General features: G+C 33.5%; 1 protein-coding gene across 6 annotated transcripts in view; it reads right to left on the bottom strand.

Moving 5' to 3' along the window:
* HMCN1 (hemicentin 1) overlaps positions 1 to 22,384 on the bottom strand; it is a 456,559-nt gene that overhangs the window by 168,254 nt on the left and 265,921 nt on the right. For all 6 annotated transcript variants that reach the window (NM_031935.3, XM_011510038.4, XM_024450118.2 and 3 more), the window contains 9 exons: positions 21,268 to 21,398; positions 20,955 to 21,102; positions 18,852 to 18,978; positions 15,414 to 15,568; positions 7,259 to 7,537; positions 6,457 to 6,738; positions 5,625 to 5,733; positions 4,344 to 4,513; positions 3,001 to 3,155 (listed from right to left, as the gene is read on the bottom strand). In NM_031935.3, coding sequence (NP_114141.2) covers positions 3,001 to 3,155; positions 4,344 to 4,513; positions 5,625 to 5,733; positions 6,457 to 6,738; positions 7,259 to 7,537; positions 15,414 to 15,568; positions 18,852 to 18,978; positions 20,955 to 21,102; positions 21,268 to 21,398 — 1,556 coding nt within the window. The remainder of the gene's footprint in view (positions 1 to 3,000; positions 3,156 to 4,343; positions 4,514 to 5,624; positions 5,734 to 6,456; positions 6,739 to 7,258; positions 7,538 to 15,413; positions 15,569 to 18,851; positions 18,979 to 20,954; positions 21,103 to 21,267; positions 21,399 to 22,384) is intronic.

The following is a 22,384-nucleotide window of genomic DNA, read 5'->3' as shown; positions in this document are numbered from 1 at the left end:
CCACATTTATATAAAAATTCATAGTTTTAAAACAATGACTTTTTATTAAATGATCATGGGAACCAGAAAAACAATAAAATTATAAAATATGAATTATGAGAATGCAGATAAATTTCTTCCTATTTTTCACAATTTCCCTCTTAAACCTACTGCAACTGGCCTCTGCCATTTTGAAACTGGTGATTCAGAGGTTATTCTTTGAAACATGCTATTCGGAGGTTACTAGTAACTTCCAGTCACAATACCCACCAGCCTAGGTAGTAAGCTCATACTCTCCTCTACCATCTATAGCATTTGGTGTGGTTGACTACCAACTCCTTGAAACTCTCTACTTTCTGGGTGTTAAAGATAAGCATTCCCTCAGTTCTAATTCTCTGACTTTCTTAGGAGATTACTTTTCAGAATCTGCTTCCTCTTCCTGTTCCACACCCAAGGAACATAGCTGTCTGATAGTTTTTATCCAAACTCATGGCATCAGTGAAAAACTCTAATGCATCCTAAATTTACAGGATAGCCTCACTGTCTCTCCTGAGCTCTACATGTGTCCTTCCAGCAATCTGCTGGACAGGTAGTACATTAAATTTAACATCAAATTCACTCGCACAAAATTAAGCTCATATATTTTCCCTTGTATTTCTAAAGTCTACTTCTGATTGCATGTTCCCAGTCTTGTTTAATGGCACCCACTATTTTTCCAGTCATCTAGGTTTTGGAACCTACTTTGAATCCTATTAATTATGCCACTATATGTTTCTCAGATCCCCTGTTTTCCATTTCCACAGCCACTGTGGGATTATAATAGCTTCTTAACTGATGTTCCAGTGTCTCCAACCTCCCCAGCTGTTAATCTATCTTGCATATTGTTGCCAGAATAATTTGTTTAAAATTCAAATTTGATCCTTTAACCAATTTCCCATCAAATTTCATTCATGGCTCTCCACCTTTTCCAGAATGAAATCTGAACTCAGCACAGCCCTCCAGGCTCACCACATTCTGACCCCAAATGATCTCTCCAAACTCTCCCATGTAAACTCCCACTTAACCTATTCTCCATTCATACTGTTATAAACATGTTAAGCAACACATTCATACATTTATATTCATGTCTGGACTATTATATTACATGGTCTTTAAATGCCATAATTTTTAAAGATCGAACTAGGTCAGTCCTCTCTTCTTTTTCATCTTACCCTTTACTCTCTCCTTGGATTAACTCATCCATGCCCATGGTTTCAAATATTGTTAATGTGCCAATATGTCCAGCCAGAACTCTCCTTTGAGCTCCAAGACCATATACTCAATGATCTACTGACATCTCCACTAGTTGATCTCATAGTCACCTTAACCCCCCAAAATCTAAAACTCAAATCAGTTTTCTCACCTCAAACTTGTCCCTCTCCAGTCTCTTATCTCACTGTATGGCAACACTAGCCATGCAGTTGTGTACGTTGGAATCCTAGGAGTCTTCCTTGCCACATCCCTCTCCTTCACTTTTCATAAAGAATCTTTCCTCAACCCCCAGTGATTTAACTAATAAATACCTCACCAATCTATCCAAGTATCCTCATCTGCATGGCCAACATATGAGTCTAAATTTCTATCTTTTCTCTCTCCTAGACAAATGTAACTAGGTTCTAATTGGTTTCTACATATCTATTATTGGCTCCTCCAATTTATTCTTTGGAATGGGTCTGGATGACTACTTAAAATGCAAACCTGATCATGTTACTCCTCTCTTAAAACTCTTCAAAGGTCTCTCATTACCTTAAAGTAAAAATAAAATCATCAACCTTACTTAAGTGCCTCCTACCTAGTCTCCAATCTTTAATACCACCTCTCCCTTGGTCTCTTCCTCAGCCCACTGGCTGGCTTTCTGGTTCTCAAGAGGTGCCATGATCACCTTTGCTTTATTTGCCCATGCACATATTCTTGAACCACTCTACTCCGTTCTCTTCCATTAATTCACCCATTTAACTTCTATGGAGTCTTCTGAACTCTAATCAGGGCTTTTCCCATAAATTTTCCTCATTCTAGAAGGCTTTGCTTTTCTCATTATATGTTCTTACACCTCTAGGTTTTCTCTTAGCATCATTCATTACGGTTTGCAATCCTACTTTTGTATGATAATATAATAAATATCTGTCTCCCAGGTAAATAATTGTTTACCTTCACTATGACTGAAGGCTAAAAACTGAATCTTTCACTTGCACAAAGATGTGAGATTATTTCCATTGGATTTGGAATAGGAATTAAAAATTAACAGATATCCACCACGTCTACTAAAAAAGGAACATAACATATCTCTCATTAGGGAACTCACAAGTAAAATTCAAGCCCACATTAGTCAATTAACTCGATCCTATTAGCAAAATCTATTAATTCTGATTTCAAATGTATCCTTTAGATTATCCAGATTTGAAATCTATCATCTATCTATCTATCTATCTATCTATCTATCATCAATCTACTAATTTAACAAATATGTACTGAGATACAGTTATATGCCAGGGACTATACTCACTATGAACGATAAAAAAGTGAACTTTTCAATTTTTTTTAAATTGAGTCTTTGCCCTCTTGAAGCTTATAAACTAATTCTTAAAAATATTTTTCAAGACTTATGTTACCTACATTTATGTAAATATGACTGTATCTTAATTTTACTCAATGGTGAACATTTTTGGCTTATTACTGATGAACATCATTCATCTGTGAGACACCAGTTTTTTAACAGCTAAATTAGGCATAAATCAAAATAATATAAATAATGATCACTATCTTCAAATCAGTATCATTGTTAAAGTTAGTCTTTAATTCCATTCTTCAAATCAAAATATTGTTAAATTCTTAAAAACTCTAAGAAAAATGCATATTATTTTTAATAAATTTTCTGCAAAATCTGTCCAACAGGAAAATCTACAGTTAAGAAAGAATAACTTGATATTTCCAGGAAGATATATGTAGCTTTCCCAGTTTAGGCTGAGTAATATTTACACTTACTTTAAGGTTTCCTTGGGCAGTGTTCACAGGCTGGTCATCTTTTAACCATGTAATGGAAGGATTTGGAATCCCATTGGCTATGCACTGCAAGGCGACAGGCTTGTATTTTACCACAACTCTCTCAGAAAGGCCTGAGGACTTGATTGTTGGAGGAACTATATTTAAGGAAGGGGGAGAGGGAATGAAACCATAATCAGTGAGGTCGAACTTAAAAATATGTATGCAAGAACCTGAAACCTTAAAATTTAGAAAAAAAAAAAGCAAATCCCTATTTTAACAATGAAATACTTTCATCATGTGCATTTAATTTATAATTTTTTAGCAAGTTTATAGATTAGTTACTTCTTAACTATGGATTTTTAAATCTCCAAAGAATAAGTAAATTGTATTTATGGCTACCGTAATCCACATGTATATTTGGCTTATATCTTTTGGTGTGTTTTACTAATCTATAATGACCCTCCCTTTCTCTAGAACTACTTCATTAAGTCAAGGTGGATTTCTAGCCATATTTATACTGCATGACTCTGCCCCCTGCAAGGCTGATTGAATGTGGAGTGGTAACTTTATTTAAACTGGGACTGCCAGATTTCCTCCCTCAGGAATTGTGACTGAGACTGAAAAACAGGGTTATCTATATTCCATCACAGGACATGGGACTAAAAATCAAGAAAACAGCAGTCTGCAGAGACAGAGGGAGAATAAAGTTGACATTCATAGATACTCCTTGTGGTTTCCAAGTGGCTCTCCAGTTTCTCGTTCCAGTCCTCCCTTCCCAAGTTCTGCCAGCAAGTGAGACACATAATACCCTGGCAGAGGGTTGCTTCTGTCGTTAGAGTAATGGTTATAATCCTAATGTGCCAGTTTTGTGAATGTACTTATGTCCCTCAGATCCTTCAATTACATCTTTAGCCACCATTTCTGGAAACTACTGTATTCACCATCCCTCTTGTTTTGGCTAAACCCTTAAACGCTTACATAACCCCTTTACTTGGAACTTGCTCCGTGCCTCTTCTATCTTATTTGGTCTAATTCCTCAGACCTTGGCATTCTATGTAGAACACACTTCCTAACGTTTAAATTCTGTCTACATTTATTTATTTATTTATTTCCCAGAGTTATTTTGGCTACTGTCTACATGTATTTACATGATACATCTTGGTTGAGTCTCTGGGTCAATAAAGTAACTAAAAATTCTGGCATACAACTGAAATTCACATCCTTTACACTACCTTCCACAACTCAGGATTTATTCACATTATTGAGCTACAATCTGAGTTAGATAATAAAACAATGCATAAATTAATTTAAGATGCAAAGTTCCTGTCCCTTCTTCAGCATACCATGAACAGTCACTTCAAATTCCTTCTTGTGGTCTCCAGCAGTATTTGCTGCCATGCACCGATAAAGGCCTGTGTTTGACACTTGAGCCTGAGCAATAACCAGTTTGCGTCCATTTAATAAAATCTTGAATCCATCCCTTTCATCAATTAACTGGCCATCCTTCAGCCACCTATAGAAAAAGGCAAAAGGAAGTCTGGATAAATATTTTAAGTAAATCATATCCTAGAAGATATATAAAGTTTCTATTGTATATTTGTCCAATTTCCTAGTTGCTTACTCTGTAAAATAAATTGTAAATGAAAAAGAGAAGCAAAAAGGAAACCCGGCCTAACGCAGAGCTGGCATATTGTTGGAACCCAATAATTATGGGTTGAGTTCTTTATTCTTCTACTAATTTTAGGCTACAAAAAAGGGAGAAGTATTGGATTGTTTGTAATACAAAGGATAAATGCTTGAGGTGATGGATATCCCATTTACCATGACATGATTATTACGCATGCATACCTGAATAAAAATATCTCATGTAACCCATAAATGTATACACCCACTATGTACCAAAAAAATTAAAAATTAGAAAAATTAATTAGAAAAGAGACAAGTGCTCCTAAATATTACTCTCTTCAATGTTTAAATAATAACCAGCAAAACATACACAATCTTAAAACAACTATAGACAAAACTTTGAAATCATATAGCATTATATTTTTACATTTCTGAATTTCACATTCCAGTTAGTTTTATAATCATGTGTGAACCTATCTCATTTCCTTCACTGACTAACTCTTCCTCTGCATATCCCATAGTGACTTGGAAACAAAAGCTAAATATTCAATACATGCTTTGAAAATTAAAGAAGAAGAAAAAAAATTGGTAAACACATACTCATGTTAACTTTCTCTATTTACCTACTATGTCTGGTATACTCCTTTTTATTTAGTAGTCTGTTAAACATTTCAGTACCTCAGGAAAGTCTGACAATGCTGCTTAATAGACTGTCTCTGTGAATTAAATATGTAATTTCTATACCATACAATGGAATTCCTCAAAATTTGTAATTTCTAAGTCCATACAATGGAATTCCTCTAATTGAGCAAATTTAGGTGCCTTTGGACTATCAAGTAGACATTGCCTTGTATATAGAGCATGTCTTTTAAAAGAGGAATATAAAGAATACAATTTCATACAATCCTTTTTAATGATACAGAACAGCTTTCAAGATAGCTCTAAAACACTCAAAACAAAAAGCAGGAGGTATTTAGAAGACATACCAAAACCCTTACATGATAGTTGGTGGGGGAGAGCCTGTCACATGACAATCTAGCTCCAGTAAGTTATTAACCATCACAATGAAGTAAGATGTTTCATCTCCTCCTTCTATAGCTGGTGGCACTAGAAAACAACAGGAATGTAACATGCAAAGAAATGTATACAACAAAAAACACACCATCATATGAAGCAATAATACATAGCAGTTCAGAAGATTGATAGGTATCATAGTGGTTTGATACATGAAGGGGACTTGAAATGCATTGTAAATACATTTTACAATAAAGCCTTGTCAGGATCAATAAACATACTTTTAACATATCATACCTATTCCTCCATCTAGTACTATGGTGCCACTGATGCCAGGTGAATATAAAGTTGATTCATATTTTATATTGTTTATTTTCATAAGCACAAGAGAAAGAAACCCCCAAAATTGGGCATCTATTCAAAAGCCTTCAATTTATAGATAAAGATACTGAGTTTCAAGGTAAGATGACTTTCCAAGGCCCAGAGACTGAGTTTCCTGTTATCTGGCACAATGCTTATGACAAAAGACCATGTTGTTGCTCATTGCGATTAGACATTGTCATAGACGTAAAAATGTATCTATGCACTTGCAAATATCAAGTATACTTATCAAAATCAGTGGAAGATTTATGTAAGATTCTAGAACCTGAGACTCTGGTGACAAATCCACCCCTTGGTAATGTGCAATCCACAGTTGCACAGAGGACTATACCTTCTTTTAGATTGTTTTATTATTGCATGAACAAAAAAGTATTTAACAAACTAATCAGGTTTTGCTATGAATCTGAGAACCCAGGCAGTGGCATCCTTATTTACCCAAGACATCAACTTCATATTTGATTTCCTTTTCTCCTGCCACACTGGTAGCCACGCATATGTACTGTCCTCGATCAATTTCTTGGGCACTCATGATTTCGAGTTTCTTCCCACCAGCTTCTATGCGGATATTGTCATTAGCTTTCACAGGTACACCATCTTTCAACCAGGTGAGAATGGGAGAAGGGTTTCCAGCAGCTTTGCACTCCAGTGTCAGAGAATGAGCAATAACTACTTGCTTATTCAAAGGCGTGGCCAAGTTGCCTTCAATCATTGGAGGAACTAGGGAGAAACATAGCAATATTTCAGGCAATTATTTGTGTGGTCACAAAATACATTCTAATGAAATAAAGAAGAGCTTTTGTTTTTTCTCACAAAGTTTGACCATTAAAATCTACCTATATGCCTGTCTCCCTCTAAGCTATTGAGGAAAGAATTTCTTGGTTCAGCTAAACTGTAACTGTCCTAATTATTCTGGAAACTCTGGACTTTCTGGCTTATAAAGGACAAATAGTAGAGAATGATTTTTGTCCCAACAACTACTTTGCCTTTTCAGTAATAGCCAAATTGTCTAGATGCTCCAAGTGCCATGACAAAGGTTAGTTGAATGAATGGACACCTTCTTGCTAACCTTAGGTTTTAAAAATATTTTTCCAAATCATGGAACAAATTCTTCCAATTCCTATCCATGCATATTGAAAAAGACAAACCCACCAAGGACTATTAGTGAATAAATTCGATATTTGCCTATTAGAAAGCATAGGTAGAAAGGTATATAATTAAAGCATATGTTGTTCCTCACCATAGACATCCACATGGAATGATTTTTCAGCAGTTCCAGCAACATTGGCTACATGACACGTATATGTTGCTGAATCAGAGACCTGTGCTCGAGGAATATGAAGATATTGTCCTTTATCAATATAAAGTGCTTGTGAGCTGGACATGATTGGCTGCCCGTCCTTATACCAAGTAATGGCAGGCATTGGAAGTCCCCGTGTTTCACATTCCAGTTTAATAAGGCTGTTGATCAATACTGATATGTCTGTGGTGACATTTCCTCCTTTAATACTAGGTGGAACTACAAAGGATTTCAGAACAAAAACAAGTCATCTAAGTTTCAGCATCTTCATCAAAATCTTAAATGCTATAGATGTTTAAACAATGCATTTAAAGTAAATTAAAGACAATTAGGAAGTCTGTGGTTTATCTCCTGATAATGAGTTTCCTCTATTGTCAAAACCATCTTTATCATTCCCCTTTTGGGTTTCAGATTTCAGTAAAAACAGAAAGTCACAGATTCCATTTCAGGGAGTCATTTAGGTTCAAGATCACAGTAGAATAACTAAGATAGTTATGTTTAACCAACAAAGCAAAACAAAATAAAACCCCACTCAAAGGAGACACAGCAAGTTTCAAATCAGGCCAAGGGAGCAAAAATGTCACATGTGGTACAACTGTATGCCCTCTCCCCAATACTAAAGGTCTAAGTGTTTTCAGAACCAGCTATTCATAATAGCTGCAGAGTCTTCAATTTTTGCTTCTTGCTATTTTTTTCTTTTTTTGGGGGGGAGGTGGGGACTGCCAAGACTCCATTCACTCAACTTTACTCATCCAATTGTCTACATGTATATCTCCTACAATTCAGCAACCACAAGTCTGGCCTCTCACACTACATAAGGGCTGTGCTGCTAGGAAAACAACTCAAGTCACTCAGTCTCTCCTGCAAATTCTAAATATGGTCATTCCAGGATCATGCTATCATTGCAACAATTTTAAAAAAATCAAATGGCATGTGTATGAATTTGAGTATCAATATAATCTTATAACCAGCATGGCACATGTATACATATGTAACTAACCTGCACAATGTGCACATGTACCCTAGAACTTAAAGTATAATAAAATATATATATATATAATCTTATAAACTTTTAAGTATCAATATAATCTATATAAGTATCAATATAATCTTACAAACTTTTAAGTTTTAGAATAGAATATTTGATAGAATGTTTTTCTCATGGTTAAGCTAGGATTATGGATTTTGAGAGGCAGCCCATACAGGTAAAGTGCTATTTTCATCACATGCTACCAAACGTACATGCTATCAACATGACTTATCACTGAGACCTGTGCTAAGTTATGCTGACAGCATGTACCTTTGGTAACCCGGCTAAGGTAGTGTTTGCCATATTTCTCCACTGTAAAGTTACTCTTTTTCTTCCCCTTTCCTTTGAAGGCAGTCCTTATTCCAGCCCATAGAAATGGAGTAAGGAATTATGTTCTACTTCTATGAGTGGGGACTACCTACATAATTTATTTATAATTCTTCTCTATGGAAGATGTGTCTCTGCTTTTCACTTTATTTATTGAGTCAATCACTTATTTATATCAATATGGACTCACAGAAACTTAAATGCCTTGGGTTACATCCAGTACTACATTACTTATCCAGTTTTGGCTATTGGGAGGTCTTTCAATTGGCTCTTAAGTCGCTTCAATATACCCTCACTATTTTATTTTATTATTTTATTTTGTTTTGTTTTATTGTTTGCACTCACTTCCTTACTTTCGGCCTTACTACATGCTCCAGCATCATCTTGTGTATTCCCTGCCCCAGCTCCAGACTTAACCATTTCTCCAAGGAGCCTGGTCCCTTTTAATGGAAAAGGATATTAGAAAACAAGATCTGGATGCTGAGTGGTGTACCTTAATATTTTCTGGTAATCATTCTTAGAACTAGTCCATACTGACAAACATTTATGTACACATATTTTTCTCACACATAACTTAAGGCAAGATCTACTATACTTTGAGGTGAATTCGACGATAGAATCATTTTTATCTCAGGAGGCTTACTATAAATATCAGCGTCAATCAACTGTGGCCCACAGGCCAGGAGATGCTAAGCTAAAAATGGCTTTTATATTTCTTAATTGTTGACAAAAATCAAAATAATAACATTTTGTGACATGTAAAAATTATATGAAACTCAAACTTTAGTGTCAATAGAGTTTTGTTGGGATACAGTCACATTCATTCATTTATATATTGTCTACGGCTTTTACTCAACAGTAGCAGAGTAAAGAGTTAAAGCAAAAACCAAATACGGTATTCTCATTGCTGCTACCTCTGTTCAGCTTACTGTAAATTTTGGTGGCATAGTTACAACTTGATAGCATTTTTATGCTATGCATATCACCATACTGTGATATTTTATTTAATTTCATCACCAGTGAATACTCCTCATGTCAGAACAAGAAAAAAATGGTGAAATATCTAATTTTTAAAGACACAGCACAGTGTGGAGTATTTAGTTATCAAATTAAAGGGCAAAATACTGTGTTTATTTTGTAACACTATACCTGTTCTAATAAACACTAGACTAAGCAGCCACCACAATATTCCCGATTTTTCAAAATCAACAGTTTGAAAAATTAGAAAACATAAAATTAAATGTTTTATCATAGCAAATTTCTTCACAAAAATAAAAAGCCAAAATAAGGCTACAACCAAACTAAATTTCTGAGAGGCTCATTTGTTAGCCAACCAAGGAAAGCCATTTACCAATGGTGATTTAATTAAATCAGATATGATCTCAGAGGCAAAAGAAACGGGTCTAAAGAAAATAAATGTGTTAAGGATTCTTAGCCTTTCAGCGAGAATAATTGCTTGAAGAGTTGAGAACACTGGGAGCAACATCAATAGTAAATTTTTTTTTAAGACAACTTTTTCCTCAATAGTATTCTTGACTTTTGACAAGTTGACAGATGTTACTGACACTGCTCACCTGTTCTTGTTTATTTGAGGAACCAATGAAAGTACAAAAAAAAAATACCAAAAAAAACCTGAAGGATTAGCCTCTTAGAGCCGTCTGTGAAACAACTACAGTCAAAAATATTTTCAGAAAATTTGAAAAAAACACTAATTTATTATAACCTGAAGCAGAATCTTTTAAGATTTGTTACAATTGATGTTGGTAAAAATATACGTTGAAGCAAAAAAAAAAAGGCTTAGACAAGTTTACAAAGCTTATTACAATGTAAAGTGTTAAAAAAAATCTATGTTTTTTCATTGTATTATTCGCCAGCAAGCACTTTGTGTAAAAGATCAGGTGTCATTGAACCAGTAGTGTTAAATGGTGTATTTTGTTTGCTCTCATATAGTTAAACATCATCAGTTCTATGACTTTTTGTCAGAAGTCAAACTGAATATCCTGACTGGCCTTACCACACAGCAGGTCAATGCGTTAGTGGTGATGAAGTTTCATTGTACTTTTTTTGAGTTCAGGGCTGAGACTGAACTTCTTTCTGAATGAAAAGAATCATTCTTAAACACTCTTATTGAATACTGAATGCTTTTGGAAATTAGTTTTACTGTAAACTTCATAGTGTTTCAAAATGAGTCCAACCCCAAATTACCAGACCAAAAAAGTACATGTATGCAAACTATATACCATGGTAGTCATTGTGTTGTTTTAGTCACAAGTAATGTCAAGCAGCTTTATGCATTCTCCATGCTGTCAAAAGTTCAAGCAAAAAGTGAGATCTAGATTCCTTCACAAATTTGCAGTGGATATATTTTCTGAGCTCAAATTACAGTTCTAGCAGTGTGTCACACCTTGAGGCAAATGCAAAGAAAATTTTCACATTCAAAATTTAGTTATCTTTGAAAGTGAGGGCTTTCCACCTAACCTTCACCTAGAATTTATTAATTGGCAGTCAAATATCAAGAGAATAATATAACAACATTCTGTAATGCCTTCCAAGCAATGAATATGCACAATTAAAATAATATGCCTGTGAAATGATATCAGTACTAGGCAGTACTTAGCTGTATGAAGAAACATTTTCAAAGACGAAATAGGTAAAATCGCATTAAAAATCAGCAGTAGGCTGGGCGCGATGGCTCATGCCTGTAATCCCAGCACTTGGCAGGCTGAGGTGGGCGGATCACGAGGTCAGGAGTTCGAGACCATCCTGGCTAACACAGTGAAATGCCATCTCTAATAAAAATACAAAAAATTACCTGGGCATGGTAGTGGGCACCTGTAATCCCAGCTACTCGGGAAGCTGAGGCAGGAGAATCACTTGAACCGAAGAGGCGGAGGTTGCAGTGAGCTGAGATCACTCCACTGCACTCCAGCCTGGGTGACAGCGAGACTCCCTCTCAGGGGAAAAGCAAAAACAAAAACAAAAAAAACCAGTAGCAGATGAACATTTGCAATTGATTTTGATGATAGAGAATACTAACTTCAAATGTTTCCCCACAAAATAACTCTATTTTTCTCATTAGTAGATTTGTATTACAAAAAGTTTATAATTTAAAAAAACTATCAAATAAATGGAATTTCACAAACAAACAATTTTGTAGAAATTTGTTTCTTTCTTATAAGTATCTATATTATCTCCTTTATTTTGCCTAATGGTCTGCAAAGCCTAAAATATTTACTATATTGCCCTTTATAAAAAAGGTTTGCCAAGTCCTGCTATCGGTAATTAATTAACAAATTCAAGCTACTATTTTGAAATCCTAAGAAAGAGCATTTTACTCATGTTTTAAATTTTAATTTTGATTGAGATTATTTATATCATATGTTAATCTATAAATGCCTATCAAACTTTGGCTCAAATTGCATAAATCGCTGGCCAGCCTAACCACTTGGATAATATATTAATGAAACCAAGAACACAGGTTCAAACAAATCCACATACTTTGTGAATTCTTTAGAAAGGATACCATTTGTATCAGGAAGGATCTACTTTAAAAGTTTGTATTTACGAAAATGAGAAAAATTACTCAAAGAATATTTGCAATTGATGGTGTAATAACATAGCATCCACTGCTTAAATTTGACAAATACATAAATATTTCACTTCCTCTTCCATTTTAATTCATACATATTTGCCAGAGAACTATACTTCCATTTGGGGGAAGGGAATACAAATAAAAATTATGAATACACTGCTCATTAAACTGTACATATATATGCATGTATAGATACACCCATGTACCCCCACACACACACATATATACACACAGACACAGACACACACACAGACACGCACACCCCTCAAGACTTTTATGCAATTTAGGGCAGGAGTTCCCAACCCCTGGGCCATGGAAGGGTTCGGATCCATGGCCTGTTAGGAACTGGGCCCTACAGCAGGAGGTGACGGACGAGCAAGCATTACCACCTGAGCTCTGTCTCCTGTCATCTCAACGAGGGCATCAGATTCTCATAGGAGCGCGAACTCTATTTTGCTGGCTTCTCGTGAGAATCCAACTAATGCCTGATGATGTTCAGTGGAACAGTTTCGTTCCACAAAACCGACCCTGGTGCCAAAATGGTTGGGGACTGCTGACTTAGGGAAGCTCTCAAACCTCCAAAACTCATCTGTGGACCACAGTTTACAAATCTTTGCCTCAGAACTACTAGTAAATCTGCACAATCTCCTGATAGGATATTAAAACTTCATTTACTTTTTTCCCTGTTTGACATTCTTCTTTTTCTTTTTTATCCTCCATCTCTTTTATTTTTCTCTTGTATTTTGTCTCAGTTTCTTTCCTTATTCAGGCACAATGTTCATTTATACCTTTTAAGTGTATCAACCCACCTGCTTCATTCTCATAGCAGTAAGTAAGGAAAAGGAATGAATCAAGTGTAGTATGAAACACACTCTCAATCTGAAATCTACATATGTATTCTTCACAGTTAGCCAAAGCATGATACCTGTTTTACTTTTTTTTTTCATTTTAAGAACAAAAGCATTTTCACAAGTGAAATAAATTTAAGCCTAAGAGATGCAGGCGAGCATTGCTAAAGAGGAAATGACACTATTTCCTGAATTATAATATTCAAAACTTTGCTACATGACAATGCCTTTTATCTCAGACAATCTCAGAAGGTTTAATCATTATAGAGCCCTCTTTTCTGGGTGCCTGGGGGCATCATACAGAGTGAACAAGAGGATCTAAAATGAAAGAACCCAAGTCCCATGGAAATAAGAGTCTTATTGAATCACCAAAATGTATTCATCACAGATCCTGGCAAAAATACAATAGTGCAGAGAAGACTACTCAACAGCTTGGGAAAAATATTGCACCTATTGTTTAAAAGTCTGGCTCTGGTGGGAAGCCAATGGTACCAATAGCACTTCTGTTTAACTTGGATGCTTGTATAGTTAATCTTTCAGCAATGTTATTCTTTTTTAGAGAACATGTCTTTTCATGACTAATTTCTTCCAAAGGCTTTTATTTATAGATATAAATGATTTAAAAGCCTGTATTAAATATAATTTCTTTGATTCAAGAAAGCTATTTGAACTTTACATAAAGACAGTAACATTTAAAAAGGGAGATTTGGAAAGCAATTAAATTACATAGAAATCAAGCTAGATTCTATATGTACATTAAGTTTTAAGATGATACAATCACTAATTAGATAATGATAAATGAATAACATTTATTGGGCTCTTACTATAAGCTCAATAATCCACGTAAAGTATCTAGCATTTGATCTTCACAATAACACTACTGCATAGGTGCTATTATTATCCCCATTTTAAGGCTGAGAAAACTGAAGCCCAGAGGGTTTAGGAAATTTATCCACAGTTACAAAGCTAGTCAGTGGCAGTGGTTGGGCCTCAACACAAACTCTTATTAATTACTCAACCAGTGTTGTTCAATAGAAATCAAATGCAAACTCACATATGTAATTTTAAGTTTTCTGGTAGCCACATTAAAAAATATGGAAAGAAACAGAGGAAATTAATTCTAATAATACATTTTACTTTGCCCAATATATCCAAAATAACATTTTGGATATAATCAATGTAAAGTTATTATTAGATATATTACATTTTTCATATTAAGCTTTTGATATCTGGTGTGTAGTTTATATAACAGTGCATCTTAGTTTGGACTAGCTACATTTCAAGTGCTCAATAGCCTCACGTGGCTAGTGACTACCATATTAGACAGTGTAACACTAGACCATTCATTCATTTAGCAAATATTTCTTGAGACTTGCTATGTATCAAACATTAAAGTAGGGAACATGCAAAACAAAAGCCTACTCTTATCAAGTTTAAATTCCTGGGAAAGAAATAGATCATAAGTAAATAAACCTATAATTAAGCAATCAAATATCAGATAGTGATGTGTGCTGTGAAAACAAGAGAGTAAGTAGGTGACTGCTTTTAATGGGAAGATCCTATGAGAAGGTGACATTCTAAGAGGTGTCTAAATTTTCCTTGAGCATCATACACCATGGAAAGACAGAAGATAGTGCAGTGAGCACTACAGGTCTATTGAGTTCCATTCCTTTCTATTGTATAAATCTTTGTGCTGGAAACATAATATTCATGTGCCTACCTATGGCTCCACTGGTAAAAATTAAAATGAATTTGGCAATCACGCTCCTCAGAAGAGGCTGATAATGTTACGGAAAATAAGAGCTACATATATTTGGTGGGGACATAGCTGGGAGAAAACAGTAGCACAAACACATAAGGCATTTAAAAGATAATCACATGGTCAGGATAACGGCCACGATGGAATTCAAATAGAATAATTGAATTGTCTGCATATCATCAACTTCATTCTATTTCATAAATCTCTATAATTTTTAAAGTTTGTTTTGTTCCTTTCAAAGATACAGACATTTGGTTTGTGTATATACTAACCAATTAGGAAATTCTTGCTCTCTCTAAGTGAGATTATATAAAAATCACTAGATCTTTTGAAGACAACCATATTTAATGAAAAAAGGCATTAAAATTTGATCCAATATTCTAGCCTTTTAAAACACATGAAGATAAGCTCCTTCTTCTCTTGAAGTATGTAGTATTCCAAATTATTCAGTATGAAATAAGAGTGTAGTTACCAGTAAACCCTGCTTGTCAACTTATAATGAGAGCAGACAATAAAAAGCATAAGACAATCGCACTTACTATAGATAGTCAGTTTTATATCCTTGGCTTGTTTGCCAGCTGCATTAGACACAGTACATTGGTAGCGCCCCTTGTCATTTCTCCGTGCATTCTTTAAATGTAAGACTTGTCCTCTGTCTAGAAGTTCAACATTAGGATCGCCCAAAAATAAAGGCCTAGAAAAAATAAAACTTTATTCCATGGGTCTATTTTCAGTTTTTCACATTTCTTATTTATCACAACAAAAATCATTAGTACAGGCTAAAAATACAAGTAAAAGTTAATTTAAAAAATAAAATGATATGATTAGCACTCCAAGAATAAAAGTTTTAAACCACTTTGCTAACAGAAGTTAGGTAATCATAAATATCTCTTTGAGATGAAAAGTTCCTCCATTTCAAACTTAAATTATATAATAATATTAATAGAAATCCAGTAGTGTCATTATTTGTTTTATTCATTCATCCATTCTTATTCTTTTTTCAGCTTTTTTTAAATTTTTTGGTTTGCATAGCTAAAATTCTACCATTATCTGGAAAAGAAAAATTAAGAGTTTTAAATATTACAGTATAGATTTTGGACCAAATAATATTATTTTTAAATAATATCATTATAATATCTAGAAGAGTATTCACAATATCATGAATGGTTATTTTTACTAAAGGCAATAATCATACCAACTTCTCTAAAAATAAGTATTGTAATAAATACAAATGCTTACATAATCATAAATATTGAAAGATATTTATGTCAAAAGAAGCTCGTATATGATTGTCAAGGAAGTCTTTTTCTACTATACAGAGTCATTTACTGACTACTATAAAACGCTCAGTTTATGTAATTGGCAGCAGTTTTATTTTAAAATTTGGTTGTTAAAGTCTATGATATCCTAAGACTCATACCTTTAAAGTCCATAAATATTTTTTCAGGAATATCCATAGCTAGTTTTTTAAAAGTTGCAATGACTTAGCCACATAATGAATAATTAGATGCACTGCCATATTCATAATACACTAGTAAGACTATGAAATTAAACAGAAAACATTTCACTTCCTATGGTAGCATATTTTACTATTTCTTAGTATGACACTTTGTATATAGCTCTCAAAAGTTAAGAGAATAAAGTAGCTTCATTTAGTGTGTTTTAAGGTTTTTTTTTTTTTTTTTGAAATGAAGTCTCACTCTTGTTGCCCAGGCTGGAGTGCAATGGTGCTATTTCAGCTCACTGCAACCTCTGCCTCCTGGGTTCAAGCGATTCTCCTGCCTCGGCCTCCCAAGTAGCTGGAATTACAGGCACCTGCCACCACGCATGGCTAATTTTTATATTTTTAGTAGAGACGGAGTTTCACCATGTTGGCCAAGCTGGTCTTGAACTCTTGACCTCAGGTGATCCGCTTGCCTTGGCCTCCCAAAGTGCTGGGATTACAGGCGTGAGCCACGGTGCCTGGCCACATTTTAAGTTTTTAAAGAAATAATTGATAATATGCTGCTCGAATTTAAGTAACTTTGAAACTTTTATTGATTGTCAATTGTGCAAGTAACATAAAATTTTAAACAAAAAAGTAAGCATTATGATGAGAAAAAGTATCCTTGGTCTGTGGCCCCTAATGTGAGTCTGCTTTCCAGACTTCTCTTTATCAGTCTGATTTGTATTCTTCCATGTTTTTTACATTTATGAACATTTTTGTTTTTAACAAAATTAAACACATTTTTGTTTTTATTTTACATTTATAAACAATTTAAACAATTAAAAAATTGTTTATAAACATTTATAAACAATTTAAACAATTAAAAACTTGTTTATAAACATTTATAAACAATTTAAACAATTAAAAACTTGTTTATAAACATTTATAAACAATTTAAACAATTAAAAACTTGTTTATAAACATTTATAAACAATTAAAAACTTGTTTATAAACATTTATAAACAATTAAAAAATTGTTTATAAACATTTATAAACAATTAAAAAATTGTTTATAAACATTTATAAACAATTTAAACAATTAAAAATTTGTTTATAAACATTTATAAACAATTAAAAATTTGTTTATAAACGTTTATAAACAATTAAAAAATTGTTTATAAACATTTATAAACAATTAAAAAATTGTTTATAAACATTTATAAACAATTAAAAAATTGTTTATAAACATTTATAAACAATTAAAAAATTGTTTATAAACATTTATAAACAATTTAAACAATTAAAAAATTATTTATAAACATTTATAAACAAAAATGTTTATAAATATACTCCCAAAGATATCTAAAGTTTTAATATATCAATGGTGTCAGGTTATTGTTCTGCTTTTCTTTCACTCTATAACAGGTATGGAGATATTTTTGGTACACATAACTTGATCTTATTCTTTTTAATTGGTGAGCAGTGTTCCATAATATGATTATGCCGTAAAGTATCTACCTATTCTCCCAATGTTGGGTTTTAGCCAGCTTTCCCATCTTTGCCATCACAGTGTTGCAGTAAATATCAATGTACAAGCCTCTCTGTGGATATGCATGACTACTTCCATCTCCTGGATACTGCATCACAGTGTATGTGCATCAAATTTTAACAGATATCAACAAGTTGCCTTTTAAGGTACTAATTTACATCCTCCCCATCAGAGCACTGTATCTTGCTTTCCCATACTCTAGTCAACATTTGATAATTTCAAACCTTTGCTTTTTTGCCTATATGAGCTGTAAATAACAAAATTTTATTATTCATCAAATTATTGATGGTATCTTTTAATATGTTTATTGCCTTAGTATATTTTAACTGCCTGTTCATATCCTCCATATATTTTCTATTTTGCTGTTTGTATTTATTAGTGATTTATAAAAAGCTTGAATACAATCTTTTATTTTATATACCACAAATCTTGACTATTTTCTACTTAGGCCTTAGATATCTGTTCCCAGAAACTATAATACACAAACTGTAACCACCATTTGAGAAATAAATTCTCACAACCAATACAGACCACTGCAGCCATTTCGATGTAGGCACACCTCAGCAGTCCTTGAGATCTGGAGTTGGAGAAATATCTGTAGTTCCTTTTTGCCCATACACAGAACTAGCTTAGTATTCATTTTGCTGTCATAAACACATTTTCCTTTTTAATAAGACAGTTCAATGTAAACAGAAAATCATCTCATGTTTAGATCTTACATTTTTCACTGTCTTTAGACAGAGGATATTTAGTGTATATTAAATTTGAGTTCCTCTATATTTCTAAAATGAATTCCCAACATTCATAGGGAGCTTTGAATTCAAAAGAATGAAAAAATTACAAGACTTTCAGACTAGCTTTTGAGCAATATTGTTTTTCCTGTATGCTCATTTAATAATATTCTATGTAATAAAATAATTAAGAGGGAGAAAATCCACATGCATTTTTCACATCTTTTTCCTATCATTGAAACCTTGCAACAAATACAGAAAAGATACTCACTTGCCATCTTTGAACCAATGAATATCAGGAAAGGGAGTGCCTTTGACCTGGCATTCAAGGGCGACGTCACGGTTGAGGACAACTGAGACTTCATTTGGGAAGTTGGTACCTATTATGGTGGGTGGAACTTGAACAAAGACAGTGTATTATGAAACTCTGTTACTCAGCAAAAAGAGCAGGCATGGGGTTAGAAAGCAGTCAATGATTTCTATAGTATTTCAACAAGATCTTAATGTCAAAAATAAAATACCACACAACAATACTTTTTCATATCATTTCTGTGTACCCAAATGTTAAATTTAAATGTAGAAACATATTTATAAAATATTTGCTAGCAAGACAATTACCTTCAAGAATTATGACAGTATAGGGTTCATTTTTGGGTGTATTAAACTCATATGCAAAAGTAGTTTAGAATGTAAGTGATCAGTGATGCAAATGTAATTTGCTACTGCTATACATTTTGGATAATGAATGACAATTAACATCACTCTTATAACATTCAAATTCTACATATAGTGTGGTGCTACTTGAAATATATTACCTTTGTCTTTTAAACAACTAAGATGGTAAATTTGGTATGCAATATAACATGAAAAATAATGTGCTAGTTTTTATTCTCAGGATTATCAAGCTTATTAAAGAGCTTCTGGATACTTCCCTGTCTAGTCGTCCCCTTTCACACCATGTTAAAGTGCTTGGTCTTCATCCTCAGAAAAATGACCAGCCACTAAAGGATTTCAGTAGGGGAGGAGTGGGATGTAATCATATTTGTGTTTTAAGACCACACACTCCTAAGTGAAGAATGGATTACAGTAGCAAAAAGTGGATTCAGGTGAGCCCTTAGGCTATTACATTGATTCAGCTCATGAATGATGATAGACTTTCACAGAAGGATGAAAAGAAGTAGATCACCAAAGAATTAGGAAGTAGACATAACAGGAAATATGTAGATTTGAAATGTTGGGGAGAAGGTAGTAGTGAGAACCTGGAGGTTCTGGAATAACCAAGTGAGTGGATGGAGGTACCAGTCCCTAGACTGGGGATCAAGGAAGGCAACCAGAACTGGCTTTCACTGGGACCTTTTTGTTTGATATAAAACTAAGGTATTCAAGTCACAATACTATGGAGAAAATTAGCTATATATCCCTAGGCTCAGGGAAGAAGTCTGAACTGGAGATAAAAAATTGGGAGTCATCAGCACACAGATGGAATTCAGTCAAGGGAGCGGACAAGTACCAGGAGAAATAATGTCAGCAAGACTCATGATAACAATGATTTCGTAATTTGTTTTTATAACTCATACTTAAATATAATAATGGTGATTTTGTGGAAGAAAAATTTCAGGCTTTGAGAAGCCTAATGGGAGGAATTATTTGTATGTTATAGCAGTTTATGAATATAATTTTTATGCAGTATCATTCCTCCACTCACTTCTACTCAAGACTTACAAATTATGTGCCCATTGTAAGGAGCAAAATATTGAAAAGGGAGAATGTCATTTTATCACAAAGTGAATTTTAAATGGCAAATATAATTTCACAAACTAGAATTATAAAATTTTAAATTTATGATTACCATTAAAATGTCTTACATCCTAATTTATTACAGCTGCTACCTACTTAATTAGAATCAGGACTGACTTAGTTACAAGAGTTAATTAGAATGCAGGGGAAAGTGGATTTACTACCTTTTCCAGTTCAAGTACAGCCTAGCAGCTTCAGGATATGCACAGCATGAATGTAATATATTCTGTATCACCCTGTTATAGCCACTTCCCAAAGAATGTCGTGCCTACTTAACTGGAGAAATTGACAAGAGTAATAATTTCTTATTTTACACAAGATAGCAGTACCACTTTTGAGTATTTGATACTACTGTATATATGATTCAAAGGCATCTCTGTATTATAAATAATGAAACCCTTTAAAATTTCTATATCATATGGTTCTGGTTAACAAATAATAAGGACAAAAATAATAGAATGAAACTATAGTTTTTCTGTCAATTTATCTTTTTCTCTTTACTTTTTCATATAGTCAGCTCTATTTTAGGTAAGAAATGCTTCTGAATTGTAGTTTTTTAAAAGGATGTATTTCTTACCTAGCACATCAATGTTAAAGTACTTCTGAGAAGTGCCTGCAATATTAATTGCTTTGCAGGAATATCTTCCTGCATCCTCTGGAGTGGCTCTGAAGAGCTTCAGTATCTTCCCATTGTTCACAGTCTGAATAGTGCTGCTTTCAGTCACCTTTAAGGGCCAAAATGGTCAGTGTTATTTCCAATCCTAATAAAAATGCATAATTAAAAATTGAAGTAGAATGTTTATATTATTAGTAGTAAGAAATGAACATCTGAACAACCTACTTCAGATGCAGAGGCAAGGAATTACACGTATTTGGATGACTCTATTTACCTGGACATTATCTTTATACCACATAATGATGGGAGATGGAGTGCCTTCCACTTCACAGAAGAGATTGGTCAGCTGATTTAACAACACCGACACATTTGTAACTTGTTCTTTATCTTTAATTACTGGAGGAACTGCAAAAAGAGAGGAGTCATAGCTAGCTAGTTTCATAATAAATATTATTTATAGAGTTTCTTTATAAGGGCCTTTATACAGCAAATTCTGAAATATTTGATGGCTAGAAAAGCTAGACATATTTAAGCATATGCTTTGTTATAAAATTAAAAAGTTTTGACCAATGTATTTATAATAACAACCCTTATTGGATTTTTATTATTTCAAGGTTTTAAATTTAGGATAAAATTTGGGATAAGCTTAAGGGAGAATCTACTTTTATTTCACATATTACTCAAAATACAAGCTTATGGGGTCTTAATTAAGTCACATGAGACTCACTACTTTGTTGATGAGGGTGAATATTGCCCAGTGTCTAAAGAAACCAATATTCATCAAATTTTAAAATATATATACACTTTCACTTTTGCAAAATGGCATATATACAGTATTTTCATTTAAAGTTAATAAAAACAACTGTTAATAACCTACACGCTCATCATTAACAGAGGAAGGTTAAATAAATCGTTGTGTATCTACACAATGAGATGCTATACAGTTAGGAACATTAAATAAAATCCAAGATAGATTGTTTAGTGAGACAGAGAAGGTGAAAAATGTGAATATAATGTTCTATTATATGTGTACGTTTTATAAATAAAAAGAGGATAAAACATTGTATTTCTTTCTATATTCATAAAATATCTCCGGGAAGACACATACATACACACACACACACACACACACACACACACACATACACACACACACACACCCTACACGCTGATAACTTTCCTTTATCCCAAATAGAGGATAAGTAGATGGCTCAGCACAGGGTCAGGAGACTTTTTACTATGTATCTTTTTCTACCATTTGAATTTTGAATGATGTAAAGTCACAATAAAAAATTACATGAAAGTTTAAATCAAATAATAAATGCAATCATACCACCAGATTTCTGTTTGGTAATACTGCTATTCACATTAATATTAAATGATATTACACT

The sequence above is a fragment of the Homo sapiens genome, chromosome 1, assembly GCF_000001405.40.
Source record: "Homo sapiens chromosome 1, GRCh38.p14 Primary Assembly".
Lineage (NCBI taxonomy): Eukaryota > Metazoa > Chordata > Mammalia > Primates > Hominidae > Homo > Homo sapiens.
This window is presented reverse-complemented; position numbering and strand designations above follow the sequence as displayed.